The sequence below is a fragment of the Homo sapiens genome, chromosome 3 (genome assembly GCF_000001405.40).
Source record: "Homo sapiens chromosome 3, GRCh38.p14 Primary Assembly".
In the NCBI taxonomy this organism is placed as follows: domain Eukaryota; kingdom Metazoa; phylum Chordata; class Mammalia; order Primates; family Hominidae; genus Homo; species Homo sapiens.
The window spans coordinates 12,495,489-12,518,352 of NC_000003.12; the positions used below are offsets into that span (position 1 = coordinate 12,495,489).

The 22,864-nt window shown below is 43.2% G+C and overlaps 1 protein-coding gene and 2 pseudogenes across 42 annotated transcripts in view, besides 1 other annotated feature; 2 read left to right on the forward strand and 1 right to left on the reverse strand.

The window, feature by feature from the left end:
- TSEN2 (tRNA splicing endonuclease subunit 2) overlaps positions 1-22,864 on the forward strand; it is a 59,394-nt gene that overhangs the window by 15,258 nt on the left and 21,272 nt on the right. For 16 of the 42 annotated variants that reach the window (XR_007095741.1, XR_007095740.1, XR_007095739.1 and 13 more), the window contains 4 exons: positions 1,030-1,066; positions 7,774-8,296; positions 9,666-9,743; positions 21,123-21,173. Coding sequence is in view for 20 of the 42 variants with exons in the window: in XM_047449029.1 (XP_047304985.1) it covers positions 1,030-1,066; positions 7,774-8,296; positions 9,666-9,743; positions 21,123-21,173 (689 nt within the window). In the remaining 22 variants the exon portion in view is untranslated. Of the gene's footprint in view, positions 1-1,029; positions 1,067-6,179; positions 6,237-7,773; positions 8,297-9,665; positions 9,744-11,219; positions 11,348-21,122; positions 21,174-22,864 lie in introns of all 42 variants that reach the window. The other 26 variants (XR_002959592.2, XR_007095737.1, XR_007095736.1 and 23 more) reach the window with 8 other exon arrangements.
- Positions 15,607-15,725, reverse strand: RNA5SP123 (RNA, 5S ribosomal pseudogene 123; annotated as a pseudogene).
- Positions 19,218-19,319, forward strand: RNU6-377P (RNA, U6 small nuclear 377, pseudogene; annotated as a pseudogene).
- Positions 21,656-22,156: an enhancer, noted in NCBI's record as "H3K4me1 hESC enhancer chr3:12558643-12559143 (GRCh37/hg19 assembly coordinates)". NCBI's record gives its function as "activates a minimal SCP1, AML or CMV promoter by ChIP-STARR-seq in primed H9 embryonic stem cells {active_cell/tissue: H9 hESC(primed)}" and the evidence as "EXISTENCE:reporter gene assay evidence [ECO:0000049][PMID:30033119]".

Genomic DNA, 22,864 nt, shown 5'->3' on the forward strand with positions numbered 1-22,864 from the left:
GAAAAGTGCTGGGATTACAGGAATGAGCCAGTGAGCCTGGCCATTTGAGTAACTTTATAGTGATTTGATTGTTCAACCTAATCGGATAGACTTTGCATCAGTTACTTCTTGTCACAATAATGCTGCTTAGTAAACCATCCCGAAAGGTATTGGTTTTAAGCAGCAACCATAGTAGTCACTAGGTGTGCAATCTTGGCTGGGTGTGCTCACTTTCCTGTGGGGTTAAAGCTGAACATCATCTCTTCCAAGCATTTAATGCATGCAGACGAGGCTGAGTTTGGGAAAAGAGAAGTAATTAGCCCAAAGGCAGAGTTAGGAAAAGACCAGGACGAAAACCCAGACCACTGGGTGACCTGATAAACATTTCGGTTGGAAAGACTCCTCCCACCTGATGCCCTGCTTATGCCTGGGGTACAGGCAAGTTAACTACAACCAAAACCTAGGGATTCAGAAACAGCAGGAGCCCGCCTGTCAGAACTGCGCCCTCATCAGGCTGGTCTTCAAAATAACTTGAGGTCAAGCCAGTTTGAGATTCTGCACAGGGAGCTAGAGCTGGATCCCTGAACTCCCAAATCCACATCCAAAACCAACACTGCAATCAAGTTCACTTTTCCAGCACTTTTGATATACACATGGAAGGCGCTTTCAGTGAAGAGGGAAGAATGGAGATGAAGTGCATACCTCTAGGGCCTCAGCATTCTCATTTGGAAGTTGGAATGAGCATTCAGCCATGGCAGAGAGGTTTCCTCCTGTGCTGTTGCTGCTTAGCTGGAGCCCTGAGTTGAGAAGAATTCTGAGGTCCCCTCTAAGCCCAGCAAGACCGATGTGATTGATGGGCAGCACCTGCCAAGGGTATGGGTTCAGGGAAGGACGGCATAGAAAGCATATTTTTGCCATTACTGACTGGACAGTAAACTTTCTAGGTGTGTGATTTTGTGAATCTTAAAATTCTCAGTCTTTCCTAGATTTTTAGTGTTTGTTCCCCTTATGGGAAATTTGCCTGAAACTAATAGAACTTCTTTGTTCCAGATATGAAGACAAACATGCCTATCATCACATCAAAGAGGTAAGTCATAATGAACTTTGGCTTCTGTCAAAATGATGGTTTAAGTCAGATGTTTTTAGGTAGTCTTGTCCCATGTAGCAGTCCAGTCCACACCTTTTTTTCTTTCTGTTTTTGGTAGTAGATGTATCCTTGAAAATTATGTTGGAATTTAATGTGGATCAAATCATTTTTGCAATGCCTTACGTGAGTTTATGGTTTGTTTAAATACTGTTTTGCCAGTTGAATTCTTTCCAAATTATGAATAACTATCCTGTAATAGCTATGTTATTAAGTCCTCATATTCTTGGGCCTAGATTTTGAACCAGCCTTCTGCCCGGTGGGCACAGATGGTCCTGTCCCCCTTCCTCCAGCTACACTGTAGGGTCAGAGAAAGAGGCTTTCACAGAGGCCCTTCCTCATTTAATCCTAGACATTCCCGGAACGTTTCTCCCTGACTCCCCAAACACACACATATGGCCTGGCTGATTCCTGCATGTGCTCAATCCTGCTCATGCCTGACCTCTCCTGGGTTTCTTTCCTTACCACCGTCCCCTCCTCTGTCTTGGCTGCTGCTCCTCTGGCCCCCACAGCCCTCTTCGGCGTGCAGCACTTTCCTCATGTGTCATACGTGGGTTTAGACTGTCGGTGCTTGGAGAGCAGAGATCAGGCCCTTCTCCTCTCTGCAGTGCCACACTTTGTGGTCCCTTGGTGAGATTGTTGACTGTCTCCATCCATCCCAGACCTCCTTGTCCCTGTGATACAGTACAGCTCTTCCATGAAACCTTATAAAACTTCTCAGGTCCCCAGTGATTTTGTTCATCTTGCTTCTGGCATATACGTGCAAAATCTGGCAGCTCCTTTTTGGTTACATGCTTGGCAACCCCATAGCCAGCGGGGTGGCAAGGAGTGGTGGCACCAGGGAGATCTCAATGGCTGTTCCAGCTGTAACCTCAGGTTGGGGTCAGGAGTGGGATTCTGGTGTGTGGGAGGGACCTGCTAAGAACCTGTCAGAGCCCTCAGCCTTGGAGGAGCTATAGTGCAGACAGGTTGCCACAGCAGAAACCTAGGGATCAGAAATAGCAGCAGCTCGCCCATCAGAACTGCATCCTGGCTAGGCTGGCCACAACATGACATAAGGTCAAGCCAGCCTGCCAGCGTAGAGGTTCTGCACAGGGAGAGGGCTACCTCCCTGAAGAGCATCTCTTTAGGAGCACTACAGTATCCCAAGAAGTTTCATTGACCCTTGTATTCATTTCCTAGGGCTGCCATAACAAAGTACCACAGACTCAATGGCTTAAAACAACAGAAATTTATTGTCATGGTTTTGGACACCAGAATTCCAAACTCAAGGTGTCAGCAGGGCCACAGTCCCTCGGAAGGCTCTGGGGGAGCATCCTTCCTTGCCTGCCTTCACTGCTGGCTCCTGGCACCCCTTGGCATTCCTTGGCTTGCAGATGCATCACTCTAATCTCTGCCTCTGTGGTCATGTGGCATTCTCCCTTGTGTGTTTCTGTGTGTCTTTGTCCAAATTTTCCTCTTTTTTTTTTTTGCATTAAAAAAATTGATACATAATAGATGTATGTATTTTCGGGGTATGGGTACATGTGATATTTTGCCTCTTTTAAGGACACCAGTCACTATGTCCTTAGATCAAATTGATTCCATCTGCAAAGACCCTGTTTCCAGATAAAGTCATATTCGCAGGTACTGGGGTGCGTAATCTGGGAGGTGTATGTTGTCCTACTATTCCTTAGTCAAGGCCCCGCAGTTACAGAGTTGCACTGAGAAGTGAAAGCGATAAACTATTCACTAATAAGCAGGCCTGGCATGAACTCAATCTGCATTCAGATATATCTCTCTTCCTTCCTCAGCGCTCTTGATATACTTTATTGTGTTATCACCTTAGTTGATTTTTTCCTTCAATTCTCCTCTAGTCTAACTGCCAGATTCTCATTTTTTAATCCCTTTGCCATACTTTGATCACTTTCATAGACTTCATGAATCCTGCATCTTTTTTGCAAGATTTAAATGTTCAATTTGCCGTCAATTTGCATTGAATTTACATTAACATAACAAAGGACAAAGTGACATAAACGACACATAGTGACAGTGCAGGAATGTTGCTTGAAGGGGGTATGCTTGTGGGGATTAATTTTTTATAAGAAATTTTCAGATTACAGCTCATTTCCCCGTGTGAACCTAAGGATGTTTAAAGATGTTACCAGCACAGTTCTATCAGCAAGCTACATACGTCCCCCAACCAAAACCAATACTTGATTTATTATTTGTTCACAACACTTGGAATCACAATCTAAATTTTGCTAAATATAAGAAAAATTGATGCATGTTCATATTTTTAGATTAATTTTTCAACTTAAATACTTGTCATAATAGTTGTTCGTATTTTTTGTAGAGACAGGGTGTCGCTCTTGCCCAGGCTGGTCTTGGGCTCCTGGGCTCAAGTGATCCTCCCACCTCAGCCTCCCAAAGCACCAGGATTACAGGTGTGAGCCACTGCACCTGGCCATAATTGTTTCTTTTCTGATGCCTCTGAAATTCTGATTTTTATTTCAAGTCGATTCACTCAAATTGGCCTTTTTCCAATAATAGTCGTCCTTGGATAAAGTTACGCACCTTCTGCGTAACTCTTTCTGAAGGTAAGTGTCAGGACCCTTCTGTGATGCCTTTGGGGAACTGACACAAGTAGGGGTATGTCCCTGAAGGACCAGCCCTGATGGTCGTGCTGGTTGCCCACCCCGTTGTCCTTTATTCAGCCAGAATTCACTATGTGTCAGGCATTGGGTAGGTGCTGGGGACCCAAGAGCGAGGAAAAGACCTAGTCCCTGTTCTTGAAGGATTTACAGTCTAGTGAGAGAGGAAGAGAAGTGAACAGTTGTGCTGTCCTGTAGTAGTCGGTGTTGTGATAGAGATACCATCACCATTATAGCCAACAGGTGCTGACTGCTCTGGCAGTGCCATTCCCAGTCTCTGAGCTTGCCTGCATTACCTCCTTTCATCTTCTCAAGAAACCTTCGAGGGTAGGTACTAGAGATGTTTCTGTTTCGTAGATGGGGACTCAGGGGAGGCTTCAGTAGCTTGCCCAAGATTACGTGGGCTCAGCGCCAGAGCCTGGGAGACATTGATATGGGTGTGCACACCAGCACTCCCTGAGCACCTTCCAGTGCTAAGTATCGTGCCAGTGATGGGCCTGTGTGTCATCTCAGGTCCTCACATCACTGCCATGAGGTGGGTCCTGTTCTTATCCATCTTCCACAATTGGAAGAACTGAACACAGGGAAGTGAAGCTCCTTGCTCAGGGTCAGTATGTGGACTTAGGCACTGTGGCCCCAGAACCTATGTGCGCTAACCACTCTAAACCACTCTGCTGTGCACTTCCAGTGATAAAGGGGCATTCATCAGTACAACAATAGGGAACGGTGCCCTGTGCAAATGGGAGAGGTGTGTGTTCAAGGGTGCAGAAACATGAGAAGCCTTGGCGTGTTCTGATGGGCACGTCCTGTGTCCTTGCGGTCCTGGATGGTGCTGCTTTCCCCAGTCCTGTCACTGCTTCCAGTCGTGGCTGCTGCCTCATCCTTCTGCCACGCTCCCCCTTAACACTTTCTGCATTTTACTTCTCATTTCTCTTCCTGCAACTGCTCCAGCATCTGGGATTGATGGCAACAGGACTTGGCTTTTTAAGGTGTTGCCAGCCAGCTAGAGGACGCCTTCAGCTCTGACCCATGTGTCGTTGTCTTAGTCATTTGTTTGTGTGGCTCTTTTCATCATATCTGACTTGGAGGCTTTCTTCTACATGCTCTTCGAGCCTCAGTCTCCTTTGACTTTTCATAGCGATCCTCTGAGACCCTGAAAAGGGAACACAGGTATGGCCTGGTTCTGGTATGTGACAGAAGGCACAGAGGTAGAAGTGCTAAGTGGCTTAGCTCAGAGCCACACGGAAGAGCCAACTCCAGGACCTAGACCTCCAGAGGCTGCGTTCATCCCTGCACTGCTGCCTCTGCTCTCAACAGCAAATTAAGACATTTCCATTCATTAACATCTTTTTCAAGATACCATATATTGAGTCTGATTTATTTTTCAAGCCACTCCTAAAAACTCCACAATGATATAGTAGTATTGATTGAACACTTCTTATGGGCTATGCACTTTACGTGTCTTATTTAATTCTTGCTGCAACCCCAGGAGGTAGGTGCAGTTATCCCTGGTTTGTAGATGGTCACTGAGCCTTAGAGAGGTGGGGTCATATAGCTGGTATGAGAACGTGATGGAGCAAGGATTGGAACCCACGTCTGCTTTGACTGCTCTGCTGCAAAGAGCAGAGCAGTGCCCTCTGTGTGCTCACTTCACTCCAGATCTTCTGGTCAAAGGAGGAACTATTGACCCTTTAAATCAGTGGTTCTGTCACGTGTTTTGAGTCACGGAATTTGGCAAAAGTTTTGGGTCCCTTCCCCAGAAAAATATATTGTCACAAAAATTTGTGTTCAAATAAAGGAAATTTATAGACCCTGTAGAGCCAATGCTTATGTTGATATGAAGAGCTAAGATTCTTTTTAGACCCCTCACATGAAAGTTCTTTTAAACGTATGCATAGGTGGCCATGTTCCAGGTGAGAAGACACCCTGCAGGTTGTGGCACAGCTATGTTCTTTTTGCTGGTTTTAAAAGTAATACATAACAAGATCCCTTTGAGGTGGTAGTACTCATCTCCACATTTTATAGGTGGGAAAATTGAAGCACGGAGAAGTTAAGTAATTTGCATTGCCACACAGTTATAAGTAACAGGGCTGGACACAAAATGTGCCATACCAAAGTCACGGTGCCGTACTGACTCTCAGGTATTAGGGTAGCCTTACCAGGTGTTAATCTTTAGGATACAATTCCCAGTATATAGGGAGGCATCCCTGATGTTCATCCTCATGTGGGGTGAACAGGGTATAGACAGCTTTGGGATTCTTAGGAATCAGGGTTAAGCAACCACTAGTCTCTTTTTAGGTACAGCAGAAGCCAATGTCCTTGTTGAACTGTGTGAGATATAGCAGTTTGTAAACTATGACATATTCAGTCTTTTTTTTTTTCTTTTGGAACATTTCACAAATTTGCGTGTCATCTTTGCACAGGGGCCATTCTAAGTATATGTGCTGCCGCATCGAGCACTGTTCAGTCTTCTTAACCAGGTAAAAGAAGGTGAAAAGTAAAGTTACATCTGCCTTCTCACAAGCCACGTGTTGTCTTGGATGCCTTTCAGACTAATCACTGAAGGTCGAGGCAAAAAGCACTTGAGTTTCACAATGTCTTTGACCTTCTGATCAGATTTCCAACATCTGGTAGTTCTCACATCACATGAACACATCCCAACAGCCTAGGCATGAATGCTTTGCCCTATTGTTTTGCCTATAATTTTTTGTAACTTGGGAAGTGTTTTGTAACTTGGGTGTTAGCTTCAAGTTTTAGAAACTTAACAAGAATTTTATCAATAAAATCTACTCTGCAAAGTATTGTGAGGAAAAGGGCCATTTCTGTTAGAATATGTGGATGAATCTACATAAGCCAAATCATTTCTCTCCTTATCCTGTGAAAGGGTTAGTAGGCACTGTGATGAATATTTATTGAAATTCTCATTTTGCTTTCCAATGCTAAACAAGTTATTTGTATTATGAATGGCATATCTATCTGAAAACATTATGAGATCCAAAATTGAAAATAATACAAAACAAGCTGAGAGCGGTGGCTTACACCTGTAATCCCAGCACTTTGGGAGGCCAAGGCGGTCGGATCTCTTGAGGTCAGGAGTTCAAGACCAGCCTGGCCAAAAATTTGTGTTCAAAAATACAAAAAATTAGCTGGGGGTGGTGACGCAAGCCTGTCATCCTAGCTACTCGGGAGGCTGAGGCAGAAGAATCGCTTGAACCCGGGAGGCAGAGGTTACAGTGAGCCGAAATCGTGCCACTGCACTCCAGCCTGGGTGACAGAGCAAGACTCCATCTCAAAAAATAACAACAATAATACAAAAAAAAAATCTTGATAAAGGATGGCCATTTTCTTGTTTATTTACCTAAATCACTTAATCTATCAGTTTTAAATTAGATAAATTTTCATAGTTTGTTAAACTGGGGGTTAGTTTTTTTTGTTTTTTTTTTTGTTTTTTTTTTTTCAAATAAAGCAAATAAAATGAAACTATATTGTAAAAGCAAAGAAACAAGAAGTAACATATGCTTGTTGCAGAACACTTAGAAAATGCAGAGGCCACACGCGGTGGCTCACACCTGTAATCCCAGCACTTTGGGAGGCCAAGGCGGGCGGATCGTGAGGTCAGGAGATCGAGACCATCCTGGCCAATATAGTGAAACCCCATCTCTACTAAAAATACAAAAATTAGCCAGGTGTGTTAGCAGATGCCTATAGTCCCAGCTACTTGGAGGCTGAGGCACAAGAATTGCTTGAACCCAGGAGGTGGAGGTTGCAGTGAACCAAGATCACACCACTGCACTCCAGCCTGGCAACAGAGCAAGACTCCATCTCAAAAAAATAAAAAAAGAAAGAAAAGAAAATGCAGAAAAGTATAAAGAAGAAAAATATTTATCTATAATGCACCATTCAATAATACTGCTGTAAACATTTTGGTGTGTCACCTTCCAGTCTGTTTTATGTGCTTTGTTGTTTTTTCAATTTTGAAATTCGAGTGCTGTTTCTAACAGTATTTCTGTCTTGCAGGTATCAGCATAGTGTTGAGTGGGCAGCAGAGCTGATGCGTAGACAGGGGCAGGATGAGAGTACAGTGCGCAGAATCCTCAAGGATTACACGAAACCGCTTGAGCATCCTCCTGTGAAAAGGAATGAAGAGGCTCAAGTGCATGACAAGCTTAACTCTGGAATGGTTTCCAACATGGAAGGCACAGCAGGGGGAGAGAGACCTTCTGTGGTAAACGGGGACTCTGGAAAGTCAGGTGGTGTGGGTGATCCCCGTGAGCCATTAGGCTGCCTGCAGGAGGGCTCTGGCTGCCACCCAACAACAGAGAGCTTTGAGAAAAGCGTGCGAGAGGATGCCTCACCTCTGCCCCATGTCTGTTGCTGCAAACAAGATGCTCTCATCCTCCAGCGTGGCCTTCATCATGAAGACGGCAGCCAGCACATCGGCCTCCTGCATCCTGGGGACAGAGGGCCTGACCATGAGTACGTGCTGGTCGAGGAAGCGGAGTGTGCCATGAGCGAGAGGGAGGCTGCCCCAAATGAGGAAGTAAGTAGAAGAAAATAAATCGCTTCCTCCAAAGCCATCCGTTCCTGGAGATGTTGGCTAATAGGGATGTCTTTTGCCTGCAGCTGGTAGCTGGCCTGTTGTAGGGTCCAAGGGAAGCAGCAGGCTTTGGGCCACAGCAGCTGTGAGGGCCATTTCAACTAAAACCCCAGAGTTGGTGAATAACTTTTAAAAAAATTTATAAAATTAAGACAAGGCCAGTGGTATTCTCTCCTTTATTTGGGAGAAAACAAAATGCGGTGATAATTACACCTGATCTTGAGTACAGCTGAGCAAGAAGGGCTCACGTGTGGAAGTCAGCCATCTTGAGAAAAGCCTAGGGAGGCCAGGTAAGAGCTACGTCATGAAGGGACTTGCTGTCAGAGTTACCCTAGAGCTGTCTGGAATTGCTAAAAATTAGAAACAATCTAATTGCTAAATGGGATATGAGATACCCATTCAAAGAAATATCATGTAGACTTAGAATGAGGTTTATGAAGTCATATTAAGAACATAGGAGCCAGGTGCAGTGGCTCACACCTGTAATCCCAGCACTTTGGGAGGACGAGGCAGGAGGATCACTTGAGGCCAGGAGCTCAAGACCAGCCAGGGCAATATAGCAAGACCTCATTTCTACTAAAAACAAAAATAAATTGCTGGGTGTGGTGGTACATGCCAGTAGTCCCAGCTACTCAAGAGGCTAAGGTGGGAGGATTTCTTGAGCCTGGGAGATCAAGGCTGGGCAACAGTGAGACACTGTCTCAAAAAAACAAAAACATAGGCACATGCTTATTAGGTACAATTGGGTGAAAAAAGCAACACGTAAAATAAAATTCACCAACAAAATGATTACAACTGCAGGAAAAATTCACAGGGGAAAAAGGAAATAAATGAGAATCTTCATAGTGAAAAAGTTAAAACTTCCTTTTCCACACAAGTAATAAAAAAGCACTTCTTGGCCAAGCGTGGTGCCTCACACCTGTAATCAACACTTTGGGAGGCTGAAGCGGGAGGGTTGCTTGAGGCCAGGAGTTCAAGACCAGCCTGGGCAACTCTGTCTGTACAAAAAATTAGCCAGGCATGGTGGCACACGCCTGTAGTCCCAGCTACTGGGAAGGCTGAGGCAGAAGAATTGCTTGAGTCTAGGAATTTGAGGCCTCAGTGAGCTATGATCACACCACTGCACTCCAGCCTGGGCAATAGAGCAAGAGTCCGTCTCAAAAAAATTGTGTTTTAATCATTCTTTATAATATTAACACAATAGAATGTGAATCCTGGGAATTTATAAGAAAAATGTTCATTTTAAAATACATTCTCTATGACATGTAGTGCTTCCATTTGTTCTGTATATATTGTATTTCTTTCTCTTTAGTTGGTGCAAAGAAACAGGTTAATATGCAGAAGAAATCCATATAGGATCTTTGAGTATTTGCAACTCAGCCTAGAAGAGGTATGTTTTCAACATATTATTATTTCAGCCATCGGTCTCTGGGCCTGAACTACACTATATGTGAACCTACCTCACAGTGTAGTTCTGTATGTAATTCAATTATTGAATATTGTAATTCAGTATTGAAATCACTATGGGTAGCTCCCAAGTAGGCCTGCCTTTCACTCCTCAGCCTTTATTTCATCAGTTCTAAGATATGTGTTTGCAATCATTCCACAGAAGATTCGAGGGGTTTTTCTGAGTACTTCTTTTCTCATTAAGATTTTAGATTGTTAGGCCGGGTGCGGGGGCTCACACCTGTGATCCCAGCACTTTGGGAGGCCAAGGCAGGAGGATCACCTGAGGTCAGGAGTTCGAGACCAGCCTGGCCAACATGGTAAAACCCTGTCTCTACCAAAAATACAAAAATTAGAGTGATTGCTCATGCCTGTAATCCCGACTACTCAGGAGACTGAGGCAGGAGAATTGCTTGAACCCGGGAGGTGGAGGTTGCAGTAAGCCAAGATCGTGCCATTGCACTCCAGCCTGGGTGACAGAATGAAACTCTGTCTCAAAAAAAAAAAAAAAAAAAAAGGCTTTATGTTGATGGCTAGGTGTGATGGCTTATGCCTGTAGTCCAGCCACTTGTGTGGCTGACGTGGGAGGATTGCTTGAGCCCAGGAGGTCACGTCTGCAGTGAGCCACGATTGCACTACTGCGCTCCAGCTTGGGCGAAAGAGTGAGACTCTGTGTCAAACAAAAAAAAGAATAAAAAGATTTCAGATTGTTAACAGATGCTGACTGGTGATGCCGGGGGTAGGGGGGTGGAAAGAAGAAAAAAGTGGATTTCGGATTGGCTGAATATTTTGTTACTAATTTTCACTAGCTTTTTCAAAAATACTATAATTCATATACCATACAATTTATCCACTTAAAGAGTACAAGTCGCTATTGTTTGGTATATTCATGGAGTCTCTACTTTTCATATACTGTGCTACATGATTCAGATCATGTAGTGACTGCTAGTTAAGTAAATGGATTTATTTCCTTCTGCAGGATCCCTCTACTTAATGCAGTAGCTACATTCTTGAAAGTTAGCTTGGGCCTGGTGCCATGGCTCACACCTGTAATCCCAGCACTCTGGGAGGCCAAGGCAGGCAGATAGCTTGAGCCCAGGAGTTTAAGGTCAGCCTAAGCAACATGGCAAAACCCCATCTCTACAAAAAATACAAAAATTAGCCAGGTGTGGCGGTGCATGCCTGTAGTCTCAACTACTTGGGTGGCTGAGGTGGGAGGGTTGCTTGAGCCTGGGAGGTCGAGGCTTTAATGAACCGAGGTCACGCCACTGCACAAGCGAGATCCTGTTTCAAAAAAAAAAAAAAAAAGTGGCTAAAAGTGGCCTTCCATAAACTGCATCATATTGTCCCAGTGACCTGGAGTTCCTCTAACCTGTGGTCACTTTATGCTCAGACCCTCTTTTCTTGCTTATGTTGATAGTGCACACAGAAATGTCTTTTCTGCCTTTGAAGCTAGGACCGCTTCTTGGGCTCCCCTCTTCTCCAGGAGCTCTGTGATGGCTTTCTTTGATAGTTCCTGCAGTGTCCAGTGTGGTTCTTGGCATACAGGTAGGTCCCAAGAAGTGCTATGGAACACATCCATGTTGGTAATTTTATAGCTGAGACCACAGGAAAGTAATTGTGGGGGCCGGGCGCCGTGGCTCACACCTGTAATCCCAGCACTTTGGGAGGCCGAGGCGGGTGGATCACGAGGTCAGGAGATCGAGACCATCCTGGCTAACATGGTGAAACCCCATCTCTACTAAAAATACAAAAATTAGCTGGGTGTGGTGTCACACACCTGTAATCCCAGCTACTCGGGAGGCTGAGGCAGGAGAATCACTTGAACCCGGGAGGCGGAGGTTGCAGTAAGCTGAGATTGCACCACTGCACTCCAGCCTAGGTGAAAGAGTAAGACTCCGTCTCTAAAATAAAATAAAATAGAATAAACAATTCAAAATTCCTTTTCTCGGTTGCACCAGCCACGTCTCAAACACTGAACAGCCACGTGTGGCCACTGGCTACTGTATTGAACAGCAGATGCGTAGGCATTCCCAGCACTGTGGAGCGCTTTATAGCCCACATGTACCCGTTCTTAGATGTTTGGCCTGTCAGAACCTCAGATTTCTTCTCTGTAAAGTGGGGGCTATGTAACATCTTGTTCATAGGATGTTCTGGAAATTAAATAATACATGTAATTGGGTCAGGACAGTACCTGATAATATAGTAAATGCTCAATAAATGTTAGTGCCTGCTATTTTTGTCATTATTAAGTTACTTGTAAAAGCTAATTAGCAGCTTGTTGGAACCTTCTTTTTTACAATCACAAAAATGCCCATTGGGTACCTACTATGTGCCAGGCATTGGGCTAAGTGCTACCGATACTGAAATAAGTAGAATGTGACTTTGGTCTTAAAGATAGCCCAGAAATCATTACAGTTCAGTGTGATAAGCATAGTGTGGCATATGGATCTTGTCAGTATCGCTCTTCCTGTTTCCTTGGGCCCAATGCCTGACATCTATTAGGTGCGTAATACTTATTAAATGAATGAATGTACAAGATAGGGAATTTGCATCGAAGCTGGTGGAGACCATCTTGCAGGGCTGAGGTGGAAAGCTTTTGCAGTCATGATAGCTGAGGATAGTAAAGGATAAATGGGGCTTGCCACATGGACACAGGGTAGTAAAGGCTCTTCCAGATAGCTCTGCCAAAACGAATGCCAGATGGGGGAGGGTGTGTCCATGAGTCAGGGTCTGGCCTGGTCCTGGGCCAGCAGGGCACTGCAGGGGATTCCGTAGGGGAGTGGCAGTGACCAGAGCTAGCATCAGTATGGAGGGTGGGCTGGAGGCCTGGCCTGGGAGGTGGCAGCTGTAGGCGAAGGGTATTCCGTGTCAGATGCTGGGAGTTCAGCTGCACTGTTCCAGTTGACCAGCTGCTGTCTTTTATTGACAAATTTTTTAAAGGCTGCTGCTGCCTGCTGCCTCCTCTTGAACACCCCCTGATGAAAGGCAAGAGTAATAGGAGACAGGAGATGAGGTTACTCTGCCTTCTTAGAAGCTGCCTGGCACCTGAGAACATTTCAGAGATGTGTTCCAGAAGTTTTCAGGGAGCACACCGTTAAACCTAGCTCTACTTGTCTTTCTGTTTTGGCAGATTTCTTTTGAATGAATCACCTATGTTTGGTGCACTGCATGTACCCGCGGAGTGTTTCTGTGAATGTTAGTCAGGAACACAGGCAGAATGGGGTCTCACCCCTGCTGTGGTGATTCACAACAGCTCTCTTAAGGGACTCAGAGTGGTGATACACAGCTAACTTAGAAGTCTGCTCAGCGCTGACATGGGAAGCTTTTAGTCTGCAACCTTCCACAGATGTGGACATGCGGCCTTGTAGGGGTGTTTTCATGCCTTTGCCTTGACTCATTCAGAACAGAGATTTGGAAATTTTCATAGAGTAATTGAAGAGCTATAAACTGTATTTACCTCAGTTATTTCTGAGTAGTTATTTCTGAAGAGTTCTGTCTCCATCCGTCTTCTGCATCCTTCAGTGGACACGCACACACGCAAACACTCAAATGCTTTGCTCTTCAAATTTTTTATTCTTATATTTTTTAGAGACAGGGTTTCTCTCTGTTGCCCAGGCTGGAGTGCAGTGGCACCATCATAGCTCACTGAAGCCTCATACTCCTGAGCTCAAGGTATCCCACCACCTTAGCCTCCTGAGTACCTAGAATTACAGGTGCATGCTACACCATGTCTGGCTAATTTTTTAATCAAATGCTTTTTAATTAGCAAGATCCAGTGAGAAATAGATTGATTTGGGGGAGCAAATTTTTTTTTAAATGAAAGTTGATTTCACTGTAAAGTAAAAGCAGTTGCATAATGCTGTCATGAAGTTAGGGCTGTCAACTTTGGGGGTTTTTTTTGGTTTTTTTTGTTGTTGTTTTTTTTTTTGAGACAGGGTCTCGCTCTGTCACCTAGGCTGCAGTGCAGTGGCGTGATCTCAGCACACTGCAACGTCTGCCTCCCGGGTTCAAGTGATCCTCCCACCTCAGCCTCCTGGTAGCTGGAACTACAGGCATGCACCATCACACCCAGCTAATTTTTGTATTTTTAGTAGAGATGGAGTTTCGCCATGTTGGTCAGGCTACTCTCTAACTCCTGGCCTCAAGTGATCTGCCCGTCTTGGCCTCCCAAAGTGCTGAGATTATAGTCATGAGCCACCACACGCTGCCAGGCAGTCAACTTTTGAAGGTTAAGGAGCTTTAACGTTTATATTTCCCAAGTTCAAAGTAGATGTGTTTAATTTTACTGTGTGTGCTGTTGGGAAACTGATGGGAGGTGATTTAATAGGGGTGGTGCAGACCAGCTCACTCATTCCCAGCAAGATTCCCACCATGGCAGCACCCCAGTAAGGCCCTGCATTCCAGGTCTAATCCTTTGCTTGAGGGACTAAGAAGTTCGGATTTGTTAGAGCACAGAAAATGACTTGAGCTCTAGGAGCAGCATTCATGCTGAGTGTGCTCACAAGAGCCTGGGGAATAAACTAGAATGTGAGTTTATTAACATCAGCAAAGGCCCCACCACCTGCCTTTCCATATTGGCATGTTCTCTTCATGTAGAAAATTCAGATGCCGAAGGGTAATATAATTGGAAGGCTGCTTGGTGAGCACAGAGTTAGCCTGTGAGGAGTGAGCTGGATAATACAAGTGCTTAAGGATGTCAGGCTCATGTGTCCTTCTCCCCAAGGAGGTATAAACTGTTTTTTACTTGATACTGAAGATTCTAAGATTGTTGTATGACTTTCAATTAATTATTTTACTTAATGTGGTAGCATGCATTCTTTTTCTTGAAAAGCCACCATTGAATTGAGGTATATCAAAGAGCTGCTAACATCTAGACTGGAGGCAGTGTGGTGCATGCATTGGTCTGCCACCGAACCCTTGGGTCGGAGTCCCATCCTGTGCGCAGTGCGAAGACCTTGCCACCGTCACCAGACTCCCCATTTGCTGAGTTTCCTCACTCACTCTGTGTCACATTCTTTAACTGTGTTGATATCATTCAGCTGTGGCTCTGAGTTTGTTGATACATGTCGATTTCTTAGTCTAACTCCAGTTTTAGAGGCTGCCTTACTGGTACTTCTGTGTATTGTTCGTATATACTTATAAAGCTTTTAAAGTGCGTGAGAAAATTTCTCTTATTTAGAAAATAAAGACAATAGTCCCCACACAGGAGGACCAGGTGGGAATGCTTGGAAACAAAGGGACACACCAGGGTCGGGCGACAGCTCTCCTCGTGCCTGACAGCAGCAGTCTCAGTCAGATCTCGTTTACGCATCGTCTTGTGCCCGGCTCTTCCATTTTGTACCTCACCCGTTTTTCCCACATTTCTTTTCCCGTGCTTAGTGTCCATAATATGGATTCCAAGTATCAGAATCTGGTGATTAGAATGTCTAAGATTCTTCCCTAGAATTTTGTGGTTATTTTTTTACTGCTACGTTGTTTGACTAGTCTCCCTCCCCTGCAATAGGTCAGTGACTTTCCTTCTATCTAAACTTCTGAAAATTTTCCAGAGACTTCAACTGTGAGACAGTTTGGGTCCTTTTAGCAAGAATATATACTTACAGCAGAGCCTTTTGATTAAGGTTTGAAAAACTACTCTAATTTCTCTCTATAAATATATTTATATTCTGCATATATACCCAGACACACAGGAAACTTCAGGTGAACTGCTTTGAGGATCAGGTTTTGTTTTAAAAGCCTTTGTGTGCTGGTGGGCAGGAGAGAAAAGAACTGCAGTTTTGCCATTTGTTTCATTGATCCTTGTTTTAAGCCTACAGCATCCAGTATTCCCAGGCAGTCTCCACTCCAAGTACTAACCAGGCCCAACACTGCTTAGCTTCTGAGATCAGACAAGATCGGGCACATTGAGAGTAGCATGGCTGTAGGGCGTTATTAATTTTTAAAGTTCACTTGAAATCATTAGAGTAGCTAAGAAAAAAAAAAGATCTTACTGCAGCTGTTAATAAAACATAAAGTAACAATTAAAACAATATAGTCTTGGTATAGGAAAGGAAAGATTGGGCCACAGTCTACAAACAGACCCATTTATAGATGGGATTTCAGGGTACAATAAAAATAGCACTTAATATTAGTGAAGAAAAGATTCATGGTGTTGAGACAGCTGATTAGCCATTTGGAAAAAGACAAAGCTAAAATCCCATCTCCTAACATAAACCAAAATAAATTTCAGGTCAATTAAAGATATAAAGGGAAATTTGAAATAGAAAACAAGGATAATTATGCTTTTTTTTTTTTTTTGAGGCAGGGTCTCTCTCTGTCACCTAAGCTGCAGTGCAGTGGTACAATATTGGCTCACTGCAGCCTCAGTCTCCTGAGCCCAAGCAGTCCTCCCATCTCAGCCTCCTGAGTAGTTGGAACCACAGGCACATGCCACCACGCCCAGCTAATTTTTGTATTTTTGGTAGAGATGGGGTTTCTCCATGTTGTCCAGGCTGGTTTCAAACTCCTAGGCTCAAGTGAACCACCTGCCTTGGCCTCCGAAAGTGCTAGGATTACAGGTGTGAGCCACCCTGCCTAGGTTTTATATATTTTTGAGATATGGATAAGTTCTTCTAAGAGGCCATAATATATAGATTTCATTACCTAGAAATTTAAAACTCTATGTTAAAGACAAAGGCAAAATTACAGGCAAAAGATGAAATGGGAAGAAAATATTTGCAGCATGCACTATAACACACAATAGACAGTGTTCTTGGCATTCCTCAGTTTCCTCAGATGTAACGTTCTCCTTCAGAGGAAGATAGTGAAGATTGAATGTAGTGTGATATGTGTGAGGTCTCTGTCCTGGAAGACACTTAGCAATGTATGTTCCTCATTGTGTCGCATCCCTCTTCAAGCTAGCCAACTTCCCTGGGTGGAGTGAAGACATAGCTTTAGTTCACAAAATGGCAGAATATTTTTAAATGAATATATTTTCTGTAAATTTAAAATGGACTTCAATGCAATGTTTTTTATGGGCAGTTTGGAGAAAGACGTGTGTGCTGAGGGAGGGCTAGCACTCACATGAAAAAACACTTCTTGGAAATTGTGCTTTATTTTTGCTTGAATTGATATAACAGCTAATGACATTCAGTGATGTATACACAACGACCAGCACAGTTCCTGGCACATGTAATAGGTGCTCGTTTGGTTCCTGCCTTTATTCTCTGCCTGGTAGCAGATACATACTCTGTCTCTAAATTGTTGATAATGATCACAAAATAGATCTTTTACTTAAATGGTGAAAGTATTACACAGTGACTAGGTCTTTCACACACACAGTGACTAGATCACATTAGTAGAATACACTTTTTTCCTGGTTAGGCACCTACAACTGTATTCCCACATGCCACATGGCATATTCCACATGCAACATCTTCCTTACCTCTGCTTTTAGCCAGTGACATTTTAACCCATACTTTTTGTGAACCGGTCATGGTGATGATTTAATGTTCAGTCTGTGCGAGTATTCATTTCAGGGATAATTAGATTGCCATGCCAGTTAGCTAATGTATTCCATTGTTTCATAGGGATCTGTTATTGAGATCTATTTTTCCATTACAACACTTGAGGGCCCTAACTACATTTAGCAGTATGATGTTAAAAACTATCATTAAACTTATCCTTCCATCTTATTAGTACTGCGAAAGTAAAACTTACTAATGAGATTGCAGGGGATGTGATTGTCAACCTCTACAGACCTCTCCAGTCTACTGATAATTTAATTTTAAATAAAACCAACTCAGTTGAATTAAGATCCCCTCCATCTGTAGTAAGTGCCTAGTCGCATTTTGCATAGATGATCAAAGCCAGTCACCATTTTAGGCCAATAAAAATGAGATATTGGTTTCATTCACTCTTGGGGAAATGTATGCTTGCTGATAATGAAAACACATCAGTTTTTGAAGAACTTACATTTTAGCAGATATCAAGAAAGAATCTCTTATTAGGCAAGGATGGGATTGAACCTTTTTTTCCAGGCTGTGCTATCCAGTTATTAGAAAGGGAAGAAAACTAAGGCCAGCCACGGTGGGTCATGCCTGTAATCTCAGTACTTTGGGAGGCCGAGGCGGGCAGATCACCTGAGGTCAGGAGTTCCAGAAAGGAGGAAAACTAAAATTAATTGAGCTTTTAGGTGCTTTTCATAGCTTATTAAATCTTTGTACGATTTGATCTTATTAAATATTTAGCTAAGAAAGCATTATTATCCCCATTGTATAGATGAGGCATGGAGAATTTAAGTGATACTTCCAAGGCCCTAGCTAACAATGACAATTTGAGCTCAGGTCTGTCAGATCTCAAACTTCAGTCTTTGTGTTACACTGTTCTGAACCAAGAAGTGCAAATTGTGGTAAAATGCAAGGGACTCAGCCATTTAAGGAAACAACTTTATCTTTTCCATTGTACCTTTTGGCTGGTAGTCCATCTGAAAAACAGCAGTATTCTGTATTAATAAGTAGTGAGTGATGGAAAGAGAAAAGGTCAAAATAAGATTGTGGGCCACTTGGCAGGGCTGTCAACAGCTGTGAAAGAAATGGAACGCAATGTTCACACTGAGAAGAGATGAGCTGAGTGAGGTGCAGAGACCTGCTGTAGGGTGGCTCTGGCTGTTGGGGCCTAAGCCAAGGGCAGGACTGGGGACCTGTCTTTTTTGTCTTTCAACACAAGCATTGAACACCCAACATGTGCTAGACCCCCTTCTAGGCCAAGGGAACAGCAGGCAGTTTCTGTTCTGCCAGAGTTTACATTCTAGTCGGAGGAACACATGTAAGAGGAAGATTTTCAGACAAAAGTAAGTGCTCTGGAGATGATCAGGATGGGGGTTACTTAGACTTGGTGGCCAGGGAAGACCTCTCCAAGAAGTGACCTTTGAGTCTGGAGCAGAACATGCCAGATAGTAGGAGTAGTGATTACAGAGGCAAAGGCCTGAATGAGCTTAGTGTCTTCAGGGGACAGAAGTGCAGCCAGGACAGCTGGAAAGAGCAGTGGTAAGATCATGCAGGGACCTGGAGCTGGTGGCAAGCAGTTTGGACTTTATTCTAAGGGCAGTGAAATCTCTTTGGAAAGTTTTAATTAGGGGAACGACGTGATTTTCGTGTGCCAAGAAGATGAATCTGGATGCTATGGAGAGTGGACTGTAGAGGGCTCAGAACAGGGAGGGTGTCACAGAAGGCAGGAAGGAGCCACCCACAGACTTGGGACCAAGAAGGCAATAGGAAAAAGTGGAATAGAAGGTGACCACCTTCATCTCCAGAAATGCTCTAGATTAGGATTTGGGTAAAACTAAAGTAGTGGTCCCTCGTATCTGTCAGTGTTTATCAAATTATAAATTAAAACAAAAATGTTGAGTATCAGTTTAACACATTTAAAAATAATAATAGTGATGTCTTCAACAGCACATATACTAAAATTGGAACAATGCAGAGATTAGTATGACCCCTGCCCACGGATGACACAAGTTTGTGAAGCCTTCCATATTAAAAACAACAACAACAACAACCCATACCTTGACATAAATACTTTAATGTAAGTTTTTTATGAAAAATAACTAATTTTCCAAAACAAAAAATTTGGAAGAGGCTTCGTTTTTCATTTTTGCAAGTCGCTTTAAGGTCTAATTTCCTGAAAGTCAGCTAGATTCTTGCATCTGCTTCTTGATTCAGTCTTGGGCCATCACACGTCTTATAGTCACTGGAGAGAGCACAAATGAGGCAGATAACACCACGTTATTATTATGAAGTGGTTTTGACCTTGAGACCTCCTGCAAGGGTCTTGGGGATCCCAGGATCCCCAGACCACCCTTTGAGAACTGCTGCTATGAAGACAGATGTCATCAGATAGCCAGGCAGAGAATGACAGGGTATTCACTGCTTGGAAGTCCTTCCACCTATATTACTTGTGCTGTCTTTTGTTCTGTGTATGCCGGGTTAGTGGTGGGGTGGAAGGACAGTGAGGAAAGAAGCTGAGTGAGCAGTTTGTCAGTGCGTTGTTGCTGCACACAAGCCTCAAAGCTTATGACAGGGAGGGGATTATGTTTCTGCTCCCACACTGCACAAGAGGGGCCCTCCTCGTCTGTGTCTGCTGGAAGCAGCAGTGAGAGCCGAAGCAGAATATTTGATGTTTGGTTATCAATCTAATTTTTCACCTTCATATTTAAAAAGAAATGTGACCCCATTTTACCACTGGCTACCATTTGGTCACTACCTGCTCTGCACCAATCTCATGGGAATCCCTTCAGTGGTATCTGTAGACCCTAAGCGCCCTGGACAGGCAAAGCCAACAACACATGGCTCTTTGGGTGGTGTCAGTGTTTGGCAGTGTATTACTTTAACAGAAAGCCATTTTCATTTCCATTTAAGTGTGACTATATTCAACTGGAGCCAATTTTCTTTGCCATTCCTACAGCCTCCCCCCACACAGTAAAATATATCATTATGTGAGGTCAGTGCAAACATAGGGTTCTAGAAAATCACTTCACCAAAGATGACTGGGAAACTAGTATTTTGTCAGGTAAGCAAAATCAGCACTGCCCCACACTTTTCACACCTTTTTTTTTTGTTGATATATTTTTCTCAATTTAAATATGGTTATTTAATTTTACAGGGAGAAACTCCAATGAGCAACAGTTTCTATTGCTATAGCTGTTAACATCATTCTTCAGTTATATAGGTTTTTTAGGGAATAAATATGGAAACATTCATAAAAATCTTTTATTTTTATTGATTTAAGCCAGTTTGTAACATTTGTATTTTCTTAGATTTTTAAAAAAATCTAAGACATTTGAATGAACCATTTATATTAAAAATATGTGACTTTTGGCCAGGTGTGGTGGCTCACACCTGTAATCCCAGCACTTTGGGAGGCCGAGGCAGGTGGATCATGAGGTCAGGAGATCGAGACCATCCTGGCTAACACTGTGAAACCCGTCTCTACTGAAAAAAATACAAAAAATTAGCCGGGCGTGGCGGCGGGCGCCTGTAGTCCCAGCTACTCGGGAGGCTGAGGCAGGAGAATGGTGTGAACCCAGGAGGCGGAGCTTGCAGTGAGCGGAGATGTGCCACCGCACTCCAGCCTGGACGACAGAGTGAGACTCCGTTTCAAAAACAAACAAACAAAATATATGTGTGTGTGTGTGTGTGTGTGTGTGTGTGTGTGTGTGTGTGACCTTTTTGATGATGACTTAAGAGCATTTGTATTTGAGGTGAAAAGAGATCAGTCTGTAAAATGGTTTCACAAGAATGTGAAACTATTTGTAATGAGCATTTTCTGCTTGCTGTATTTTCAGGCCTTTTTCTTGGTCTATGCTCTGGGATGTTTAAGTATTTACTATGAGAAGGTAAGATGCTTTGTTTACATACAACCCACTTAAAATTTCCCTGTTGTTAAAAGCAGGTTGTACTAATTTCTATATTGCATTAATACAAATGTTTCTACTCTTACTGAATAAAATAGGAATTGAATTTTTCTCTAAAGTTTTGGATTTGGGTCCTGAGGTGGGACTGTTCGAGCAAAAGGCATCTTTGACCCTTTTAGATTGCATTTCATTCCTCAAAACTAGGAGAAGTACAGTATCTTGTACTGGATAATGATTAGGAAATCTGTGTCAGAACAGTATTAAAAATTAACAAAAATAAAAGTTACCCGTATTTGGCACCTACTATGGTAAAAGCTATATTTTAGGTACTTTACACGCAATATTTCCAGTCCTTATCTCCACCTGGTTAGAATTTGCAGATAAGGGGCCGGGCCCGGTGGCTCACGCCTGTAATCCCAGCACACTGGGGGGCCGAGGCGGGCAGATCACAAGGTCAGGAGATCGAGACCATCCTGGCTATCCTGGCTAACATGGTGAAACCCTGTCTCTACTAAAAAAATACAAAAAATTAGCCGGGCGTGTTGGCATGCGCCTGTAGTTCCAGCTAATCAAGAGGCTGAGGCAGGAGAATGGCATGAACCTGGGAGGTGGAGGTTGCAATGAGCCGAGATAGCGCCACTGCTCTCCAGCCTGGGCGACAGACCGAGACTCTGTCTCAAAAAAAAAAAAAAGAATTTGCAGATAAGGTAACTGAGGCTCAGAGAAAATAAATAATGTACCCAAAGTCACACAGCTAGTCTGGTTAGAATAAATATTCGAACCTATGTCCAAGTAACTCCAAAGCCCATGACTTTGTGCTGTTGTTGCCTGCTGCCTTTGGAAGGGAGATAATTGTAAAATAATTCAAATAAAATTTAAAAGAGAAAAGTAAACAGAACAGTAAATGGAGCAGATAAGGTATATTCTGTTTGGCTCTTGGGAGCACATAATTTAATCAGTCATCAAATTCTGATTGCATAAATACCGTTCATGGGTATTCCAGCCGTTTGGAAGCAATGTCTGCCTGACAAATGGCTCATTTTCCCAAATGGTGGCAATTCTTAGCCCCACCCTGCTTCCTCTCGCGGGCCTTAGCTGAAATGTGTCAGAACGTTACAGCTGTGACATAAAAGCCTCAACATCTGAACAACACTGGGCTGTGTTGGAAATTCAGCCTTCTCTATAAGGCTGTTGCTTGTTACTCACATTGGGGTCACAAGGTCACACAGGTATGGAATTTTTGCATTAGGAACAACTGCAAAAAAAAAACAACTCTAGTCTATTGTATTATAATCTTAGGCTGGGACAAACTGAGCCAGTCTCACTGAGTGACTGAGCCTTAAATCAGCTGAAGACTTGATTGTTTCAGTAACTACTGAAATAAAGCAAAAATTTTCCAAACTTACCTAGTTATTTTGTTGTCATTGTATTTTTGGTAATGATACATCAGAATATTCTCTAGACCAAACTATTCTCATTCTCTTTGACTCCCACATTAAAAACAAAATTGTCTTTTAAGCAGTTAATTATTAGTTTGTGCCATCAGATAACAAATTCTCTAGTTTCAAACACTAAATGGAGGTTTGTTTGTTTGTTTTTAAGTTTTACTATAAAAGTGTTTTTTGTTCTTCTGAACATGAGCTGACATAGAGTAGCCACTCACTAAGGGTCTG